We start from the raw sequence: 10987 nt of genomic DNA, 5'->3' as shown, positions 1-10987 counted from the left end.
GAATCAACTTTGAAATAAATAGTTACAGCAGACTAGATAATTGAGTAAGTTGAAGCTTGTTGAGTCAATTACATCATCTCCTACCAGACATCATCTAATCATTTTTTCCAGAAATGTTAGCACCTACACTGACACATCTACATTCAAACAATGCATACATTTCAAGCCCCTCTTCTTAAACAGGCCCATATATAGTGGGAGCAACCCTCAGTTTACAGCTTTTGCATCTTGTGGGTCCTTTCGCCACTGTATTATTCCATTTTCACGCTGCTGATAAAGACATACCTAAGACTGGGCAATTTACAAAAGAAAGAAGTTTAATTGGACTTACAGTTCCATGAGGCTGGGGAAGCCTCACAATCATGGCGGAAGGCAAGGAGGAACTAGTCTTGTCTTTCATGGATGGCAAGAGACAAATAGAGAATAATGAAGATGCAAAAGCAGAAACCTCTGATAAAACCATCAGACATGGTGAGACTTATTCACTAACACCAGAAAAGTATGGGTGAAATTGCCCCCATGATTTAGTTATCTCCCACCAGGTCCCTCCCACAATACCTGGGAATTATGGGAGTACAATTCAAGATGAGATTTGGGTGAGGACACAGCCAAACCGTATCATTCTGCCTCGGCCCCTGCCAAATCTCAAGTCCTCATATTTCAAAACCAATCATGCCTTCCCAACAGTCCCCCAAAGTCTTAACTAATTTTATCATTAACTAAAAAATTCAGAGTTCAAAATCTCATCTGAGACCACCTCAGCCTGGACCTTATTGTCCCTATCACTGTCAGCATTTTGCACAAAGCCATTTAACAAGTCTTTAGGAAGTTCCAGATTTCCCACATTTTCCTGTTTTCTTCTGAGCCCTCCAAACAGTTCCAACCTCTGCTTGTTACCAAGTTCGAAACTCGCTACCACATTTTCGGGTATCTTTTCAGCAATGACCCACTCTACTGGTATTAATTTACTGTATTATTCCATTTTCTGATAAAGACATACCCGAGACTAGGCAATTTACAAAAGAAAGAGGTTTAATTGGACTTACAGTTCCACGAGGCTGGGGAAGCCTCATAATCATGGCGGAAGGCAAGGAGGAGCATCTCATTTTTCATGGATGGCCGCAGGCCAAAAGAGAATAAGGAAGATGCAAAAGCGGAAATCCTTGATAAAACAAAATCATTATATCTGGCGAGACTTATTCACCATCACGAGAACAGTATGGGGGAAACCACCCCCACGATTCAATTATCTCCCACCAGGTCCCTTCCACAACACATGGGAGTTGTGGGAGTACAATTCAAGATGAGATTTGGGTGGGGACACAGAGCCAAACTATATGAGCCACCAGTCATCACCTCAGTTAATCCATTCACAGGGAGTGGACCTCATAAGGTCCCCCTCAGGATGTTAGATGAATGTATCCTTAGACTCCAAGTTTTCATACTTCAGATACGTTCTCTTTTTCCTTGCAATAGATATTTAACACATGTGGAAACTGAGGCTCAGTGTGATGAGGTAACAAACGTGGGCTTAGGATCCATGGAGCATGGGTTTGTACCAAAATCTGTCTATCTCTGCTTTCCACTTGTTATACAATACCTTAAGCACAGGGCTAGGCAAGCACCAGCACAAGGATCACTGCTTGACCGTAGAGTGCTGCAGCCGGCTGACAGTTTCCCTGTTTCTGGGCTTGGGCCCCTCTCAATTCATCTGCTTCCTCTGGTAATGGGATCATTCTGAGCTCACCAAAAATTCAATAACTGCCTTATCCATGAGAAATGTGGAATGGAACACAATTTAGTATTCAAAAGATGAGTAACTGGAAAAGATTAGGTTTTTAAACAAATGCACATTTTTTCAGTGTTTTTTCTTAAGGTTTTTGTCATAGACTTTCCTTTATTGTAAGGCTATCTGAGGAGAGAAAATAATTTAAAAGAGGTGACATATACTTTTAGTTTTTTTTTTTTTTCATCTCAACTCACTGCAACCTCCACCTCCCAGGTTCAAGCAATCTCCTGCCTCAGTCTCCTGAGTAGCTAGGATTACAGGCACACACCACCAAGCCTGGCTAATATTTGTATTTTTAGTAGAGACAGGGTTTCCCCATGTTGCATGGACTGATCTTGAACCCTTGACCTCAAGTGATCCACCTGCCTCAGCCTCCCAAAGTACTGGGATTACAGGTGTGAGCCACTGAGCCTAGCTACATTTTGTTTTTTAAGAACTAGTTTCCAAATGAGTGGAAGATTTCACCAAAAAGAAAGAGAAAAAGCTTCTCCAAATTGTAGAATCTCAGAGTCAGAAGAAAATGTAAGGGTCATCTAAAGAGCTGTGTCTGTCCTTTCAGTTCCACAGACTTCAAACTTTGAGATCATCCTTGACTCCTTTCTTCTGTCATTCCTGGGCAATCCTGTTAGCTCTGCCTTCAAGATCAGCTCGCTTTGCACATCTCCATGCACTGCGGTTCAATCTTACCACCTTCCTGGTTCCTCTGCTTCTTGCCCCTCTTCAGTTTATTCTCAAACCCCCAGCCAGTGATATTCTAAAAACATAAGTCAGATCATGACCCTTCTCTGGTGGCTCCTTGTCTCAGCCTGTGTTAGAGCCAGTCCTTACAGTACCCACAAGACCCTGTGGAATCTGATCTCACCTCTCTGATGTCCAGCTCCTACTACTCTCCATCCCTCCTCTGTTACAGCCACATGGGCCTTGTTACTTTGGATCATACGAGGCATACAGCTGCCTCAAGACGTTTGCACTGGCTGTGCCCTTTGTCTGGAATACTTTTTCTCAAAGTCTGTATGGCTCATTCCCTTACCTCCTCCATGTCTTCACTCAAATCTGCCTTCTCAGAGAGGGCTTACCTCATGAAAATTATAGCTTCATCATCTTTTTAAATCTCTTTTCTACTTTATTTTTCTCCATTGCACTCATCATCAATTAACACATATTTTCCTAGCTTAAATTTTGTTTTCTGTCTTCTTCCACTGCAACATAAGCTCCATAAAGGCAGGGAGTTTTGTCTATTTTGTTCACTACAGTATCCCTAGCACCTAGAGCACAGCAGGTGCTCAGTAAATATTTGTGGAATTAAATAAAACCTGGTAACTCAGCCCTTTTATTGTGTAGATAAGGAAGTAAATGCCTAGAGAGATAAGTTAATTTTTCTAGGGTATGCACCACTGATTAAGGTTCGTGGGGACGTTGACTTTCAATTTATTGTTCATTTCACTACATCAGAAATTCCCAGGAAATATCACATTCTATGTTTGAGACTCAGTACACCAGGTGATAATGGAGAAGCAGAGAGAGAGAGAAGGAGAGTGAGATAGCGAGAATGAGAGTGTGATACACACTCACATACAGTCAGGGAGATAGAGAAGACAGAGACAAGAACAAAGACACAGAGGATAGAGACAGCCTTAACTGGATTCATAACTCTAGCTGTGGCTCATCCAACTACACCCTCCAGTCCTCCATGTACCATCAGGATTATCAGGATTAATTTTCCCCAAACCAGTAGTAATCCTATAACACCCTTGGTGGTTCCCTGGGAACTACAGAACAAAATGCAACTTTCTTAGCTTGGCATGCAAGTCACCATCGGCCTCCTCCTATTTTCCCCAAAATAACACCACATATTTTTCCCTGACATGCTGATACTCTTGTCATAGTGTTCTGTTTCCCCTCTCCCGATTCTCTGGATCTTTCTACATATTTGTCCATCGGCATGTGTGGTTTATTGAGCCTAGAATTCCCTTTACTTCTTCCACTTGGAATAGTCCCCTATATTTTTTATGAGCCAGCTCAAAAATCCCCTCCTCTTTTGAAACTTCCCCCTTCTTTCCCAGCGGAGTCAGCTTTTCTGTCCTCTGCATGTCCTTTTTCTGGTGCTAACATTTACCACAGTGTCTAGGTTTCCTCATCATGGTATCACTTTGTCTCTAGCGGCTAGTACAGTGCCATACAGTGCCAGGGCCTAGTGGGTACCCAAAATGTGTTAGCTGAATGAATGAAGATCAGTCACAATCACAACAGCTTAACTAACTTTGGTTCTTATGATAAGTGGTTATGGACAATAAGTAGTAGGAGAGCATGTACACACAGCTGGTTATACAAAGTAAAGTTAGGCTACTGCTTACGTAAATCTCTCTCATCACAACAAGCAGTAAATTCTAGATTAAAGCCTCATTAAGTCAGTGTGCGTTGGAGGTTTTTATTGGCAAAATAAAAACCTTTCTTTTCCATGACTATGGAAATTATCCATTTTTAGTTCATTAACTCATTTAGTAAATATTTATTAGCTCACATTCTGTGTCAGGCGCTGTTCTGCAGTCTAGAGATACTGAAGTAAGACAAATGTCATCCCTGCCATCACAGAGCTTATAGGCTAGCAGGGAGGCAGATTTTAAACAAATATTATACAAATAATTAATTTTTTAATAATTGTAATGACAGTTGATATTACATACATCAGTAGCCTAAAGAGCACAATAATGCCTAGTATTTACTGAGCTCTTAAAATGTGTGAGTCACTGTTGTAAATTTTACATATTGAATTTTATTACTACTCTTAACTCTAAGTGTTGGGTTCTATTATTATTATTTTTGTCTTGTTTTCAGATAAAGAAGCTGTGGCACAGAGAGATTAAGTAACAGGGTCACAAACAAGAAAGGGTAGAATTGGGATTTAAACTGCCATGCTATATTGCTGTTTGGCACTTGCATAAGAAGAAATGTTTTCAAGTTCTAATGAAACCAGGCATGGAATGCAGGTTAATTTACATGTTCCCCCCACCCACCTGTTTAATTAATTAATTAATTTTGTTTTATTTTTATTTCATTGACACTGGCTCTGAACTGACACCCCCACCTGTTTAACACCATGACTAGGAAGGTGCTTCAGAATGTGGCAGAAAGTAGTACAGAATACTGGACTGGAAATGTTTCAGTCAAGGAGGCATCAGGCAGTCTTCTGATTATGGGTCTCATATTCCCCTCTGAGCCAAAGAGTAAGTTATTTAGCTTCCTCAGCATGCAGTGTTTTTTTTTTTTTTAATGTGTGTGTTTGGCAGTTCATCTCAACTTCTCAGTTTTGAAATCTTTGCATTCAAATGTCACTTCCCCAGAGCACTCTCCTTGACCCTGCCAACATCCCTTCTCCCTCTCTTACTTCATTCAGTTTAGTTTCTTTATAGGGCTTATTATGACCTGACATGGAACACTAGATCTGGTGTTTTGTTTACTGTTTTCCTAATGCCTGGAACAGTGCTTGGTACGTGTGTTCGCTTCAATCGTTATTGAACAAATGTATTCTCCAGGAAACTGGGATAGGTAACAACTCTTAGAACCAGGATGGGATCTTTCACAACAATATATACACTTGGCACTGACAATTCCAAAACTGCCAAACAGAGGCAAAAGCTATGTCTTCTAGAATCTGCTGTTAAAGGGAAAGCTACATTTCATAAACTTGACTTGAAAGTAGCTGACTTGGCATAGTCGGGCATTGGGCGGATATGAAAGAAAGCCCTAGAGATCCAAGACAGTGAGATAGTCTCTACCAGGATTTCTTTCTTTCATTTTTCCTGAGGAGGAGGAATAACAGTAGCCACCCATGGAAGTGCTGAAGCTTCTGTCTTCTGGGAAACTGTCCTCTTTGCTTCTTGGAGGCAGCACAGCCCTAGACAGTCACATTGAAAGATACCCAAAGCGTGCTAGACATATAACTTCAGGGTTGATCTTTTTTATGTCAGTTTTTCCAAAACACATCTTTAAATAACACCCATACATTTCTAGTTTGTGAATAAATTAGAATGCAAATCCACATTCACTCTGAAAAACCCACGGTCATTTCCTTCTCTGTGCTCGCTAGAGCTTATCTTTAAGTAATTATCAAACCGGTTGTTAGGCGCGGGTCTCCAGCTGGAAAGCTGCTGAACCCTGGGGAAAGATGAAAGTGCAGGGAGACAGCTGAAGGCATCAGCAAAAGTTATTATGACAAACAGCTTTATAATAATCATTCCTCAAAGCTGGAATTTGTGTTTCTAACGTCTGGCTTCTGTGAAGTGTGGTTGCTGCTGTTTCTACTTTACCCCCAGTCTCTAATGTTTATGGAAGAAAGAAATCAACTAAACTTCTGGTTTGATCTTTCTCTTTGTAAAATGCAGCAGTCTGTCTGTTGATGTCACTTGACTGGTAGCCACATACTGTCTATAGAAGTCAACTTTTTTAGTACTGAGAAGTTTTGGAAGGAAGAGAAACACACTTAGAAGTTCAAAGCTTTTATGTGTTTAAGACTCATTTTCCCAAAGACAATGTTATTGAGTTCTAGAAAAATTCAGACACTTAGCCTGGGTCAGTTTAAATATTTGCTTCATCTTGTATAACACTCCACATTGGTGGGTATTTAAATGATTAGATGAGGGTTGCTTAACTTTAGGTCCGTGAATGAACTTTAGGCTGTCTGAGTAATCGCTGACATTGTAGGCAGAATTTTACGTGTTGTTTCCATTTACGTTTTTGGGAATAATAATTCACAGCTTTCATTAGGTTCTCAAAAGAATACTTCAGTGCTGTGGAGGATCTGTGTGGACGAGTGACAAATGGGAAATCCAGAGGCTTGGGTTCTTCTGCCTCCAATAGCAGCCAAAACTTCAAAAAAGACCTTACTCTTCTGGACTTTTAGTCTCCTCACCCATAAATGAGGAGGTTGAATTAAATCAATCAATGTTTTCCCAAAGTTCATTCATGTACATAGTCATTTATGGACTGTCTTTATGATTATTGCCATATCCAATCACAACCTGTTCTATTTACTTAATATTTTTTCTTACATCTCATCACTTAAGAAAATCTATTTTAAAAGAAATCTGTTTTGTGCGTCTGTAAATGGAAAACCAGCATCACATGAGGTAAATTTTAAAAATGTTATTAATTTACTACATAAAGATTATTGTCTTTACACCAATGGTAGGTGTGCCACACCTGACACATTGGCATAATGGATGTACAGTCATACCTTGGTATCTGTGGGGGATTGCCAGGACCTCCCTGAGGATACCAAAATCTGCAGATGCTCGAGTCCTTTATATAAAATGAAATAGTATTTGCATATATCCTATGTACATACTCCCAAATACTTTAAGTCAACTCTAGATTTCTTATGATACTTAATACAATGTAAATGCTCTGTGAATAGTTTTAACACTGTATTGTTTAGAGAATAATGACAAGAAAAACAGTCTGTACATGTTCATTGTAGATCCAATGACATTTTTCATTTGCAGTTGGTTGAATCCACAGATGAAAAACCCCTGGATATGGAGGGCTGACTGTATTGCATTTACTCCTCTAGATTCACTCTTCACCCTTTTCTACTCAGAAGAGCCCAGACAACGCTTTCTTCACTAAGGCATTAAGAAACGAAGACTGTAGTTTTTCTCTGTGGACCAGATATGATAACGAGGGATGCTGCTTTTGAATTTCAATGGGAAAAATAGGAGTCTGAAATAGTAGACAGAGGCCAGGGGGTGGTGCTTATCTTTCAGAGACAAGGATGCAATGACCAATAAGCCACAGGATGGAATGCTAAGCAGCATGTTTTGACCAATAGGGTTCTGTATGATGGCTACTTCATCACAGGTCTATAGGAAAAAATAGATAGACATCCTGTCCTACATTGATTGTCCACTTTCCGCTTGACATAAATGTGCTGCTTGACATAAAAAGACAAAAAAAAAATTCTACATTCACTGAGCCTAACTCAAATTGCTGTGGTGGGATGTATAGTTTCTTATCTAGTTTCCAGACCTAAAGCCCCTCAACTGAGGGGACATCAGGTTCCTATGAGGAAGAACCTTGAAATGTGGCCAAATTGTATACCATGATAGTTTCCCTAAGCCACTATCAGAGGGACCTGAGGCAATTAAGTAGGGAGAATGTGTAAGATGGGGGGTTATTAGGAAGTGGTTCTGAACCTTAAAAGCCTCATATTTACTGGTTAAAGCTTATAGAAGTAAGATGAGAAACAGATTTTTTTTTTTTTTTTTTTTTGAGATGGAGTCTTGCTCTGTCACCCAGGCTGGAGTGCAGTGGCGCGATCTCGGCTCACTGCAACCTCCACCTCCTGGGTTCAGGCAATTCTCCTGCCTCAGCCTCCTGAGTAGCTAGGATTACAGGCACACACCACCACACCCAGCTAATTTTTGTATTTTTAGTATAGATGGGGTTTCACTATGTTGGCCAAGCTGGTCTCAAACTCCTCACCTCAAGTGATCCACCTGCCTTGGTCTCCCAAAGTGCTGGGATTACAGGTGTAAGCCACTGCACCCGGCCTTTTTTTTAATTTATTTTTTATTTTGATCTTTATTTTTTGAGACAGGATCTCACTCTGTCACCCAAGCTGGAGTGCAATGGCGTGATCACAGCTCACTGCAACCTCCACATCCTGGGCTCAAATTATCCTCCTACCTCAGCCTCCCAAGTAGCTGAGACCACAGGCAGGCACCACCATGCCTGGCTAATTTTTGTATTTTTTTGTAGAGAAGGGGTTTCACCATGTTGCCCAGGCTGGTCTCTAACTCCTGGGCTCAAGCAACCTGCCAACCTCAGCCTCTCGAAGTGCTGGGATTACAAGCATGAGCCACTGCATCCAGCCCAGGAATAGATATATATAATAATCCCACAATGATTCTTATACCAATGGAATAAAAGTTATAGTAGGAAGAGCCAAGTGTAAGGAAGCCCCTGGAACTGTACACCTTCTTCCTTACTCCCAACAAGATAGCAAGTCTTGTAGGGAGAATTGCAGAGATTAGCATTATGATAGAAAACTTGGAAGATACAGAAAAGGTGTCCTACCACCTCCCCATTTAACTCACCTGTCTGGCTGGTGGAAAAGCTAAATGGGTCATGAGGAATTACAGTGGATTGTTGCAATCTTAATCAGGTGATGATGCCAGTTGCAAATGTATTTCCAGACGTGATAACTTTATTGGAGCAAATCAGCATAGCCCATGGCACCTAGTATATAGCTAGTGATCTGGTAGCTGTTTCTTTCTGTTCTAATCAGTAAGAAACATCAGAAGTAATTTGCTTTTAAAAAACAGGAACAATGTAAATTTATACTCTCTTGCCCTAGGACTATGTCAACTCTCCTGCAATCTAGCCTAACAGTCCTGAGGGTACTGGATCTTCTTTATATTCCATAGAACATCATGCCCATCCAGTACATTGAAGACACAATGCAACAGGATTGGATTAACATGAGGTAGCAAGCCAGAGGGTAGAAGATAAACACCAAAACATTAACGGTGCTAACAACATTTCTAGGGGTCTAGTAGCCTGAGGCATATTGGGATAGCTAAAGTTGTTTCCAAGTTGTTGCATCTTGTACCACCTTACAAAAAGAAAGAAGCACAATTCTTGTTGGACTTCTTTGTGTTTTGAAGGTAAAGTATACCACATATTGTATAACTCAGAAGGCTGGACATTTTGAGTAGACAGAACATGAAAGGGGTCCATCCTTGTTACTTGGGCATTATGACCCAGAAGACTCAAATGTGTTGGAAGTATCTGCAGCTGTATGAGACTTGTGGCAAGCCCCGATAGGAGAATAATAGCACAGAACCTTAGGGGTTTCTTTGTGAAAAAGTAGTTTTTGCCTTGCTACTGGATTCCACTAGACACAATATGCCTGACTATGGGATGCCAAATGATTGTTATTTGAGTTGCCCATCTTGAACTGTGTGATATATGATCAACTGAACCATAAAATGGAACATAACAGCATTTTATTTTAAATGGAAACATATATGATATCAGGCTCCAGCAGGTCTGGAGGGCTCAGTTAGATTGCACCAGTAAGTGGTTTAGACTTCCATATACTTCCTCTTGATGAGTATGTTCCTGGCTCATGGATTTCTGTATGGTATTCTGGCATCAGCAGAAAGTAGACAATCAATGTACTACAACCCCACTCAATGAGCAGAACTTTAAATGGAATTTCTGGTTATCTATTTTGTGTAGAAGGAGACGATGGCTTGTGATACAGATCTACACTGACTCAGGGTTAGTACCAGATGGGTCACCTGGTCAGGGACTTGGAAAGAATAAAATTGAAAGATTGGTGATAAGGAGGGTCTAGAAGACAGGTTATCTGGACAGTCTTCTCAGAATGGGACACAGTATGAAGATTTTTTTTTTTCTCATGTAAATGCCTGGTAGAAGAAAACCAAAGTAGAGGAAATTCTCAATAATCAATATGGCTTCTTCTGAGAGTGACATTTAGCCTCTTTCCCTGGCCACCTTGGTGTTTGCCCAATGGTCCAGTATTTGAAGTGACAATAGTGGCAGGGATAGATGTTATTCAACGACTCAACAACATGTTGTCTCCCCTGCAAAGTTGATCTGGCTATTACCATTATTATTATTATTGTTATTTTTTGAGATGGAGTTTTGCTCTTGTTGCCCAGGCTGGAGTGCAGTGGCGTGATCTCAGCTCACTGCAACCTCCGCCTCCTGGGTTCAAGCGATTCTCCTGTCTCAGCCTCCTGAGTAGGTGGGATTACAGGCACATGCCAGCACACCTGGCTAATTTTTGTATTTTTAGTAGAGATGAGGCTTCATCATATTGGTCAGGCTGGTCTCAAATTCCTGACCTCAGGTGATCCGCCTGCCTCGGCCTCCCAAAGTATGGGACTACAGGTGTGAGCCACCGCACCCGGCTGCTATTACCATTATTAAGTGTCCAGATGATCAGTAAGAGAGACTAACTTTGAGCCCCTGCTGTGGCAAGATTCACTGGGGAAACCAGCATGTGTGTCTCACAAAAGCATGCTCTGAATTGCAAAGAAGGACCAGCAGGGCAATGGTTGGAGTGTTAATGGAAAAACACAAATTCATCAGATAATGGGAACAATTCCATTCTTCCACTGTTGCTGCTGCTGTTTTGCTGAATACTCTTTACCAAAAGGATCAGTTGGA

This window comes from Homo sapiens, chromosome 4, assembly GCF_000001405.40.
Source record: "Homo sapiens chromosome 4, GRCh38.p14 Primary Assembly".
NCBI classification, from domain to species: Eukaryota; Metazoa; Chordata; class Mammalia; order Primates; family Hominidae; genus Homo; species Homo sapiens.
Note: the sequence above shows the minus strand (reverse complement) of the source record.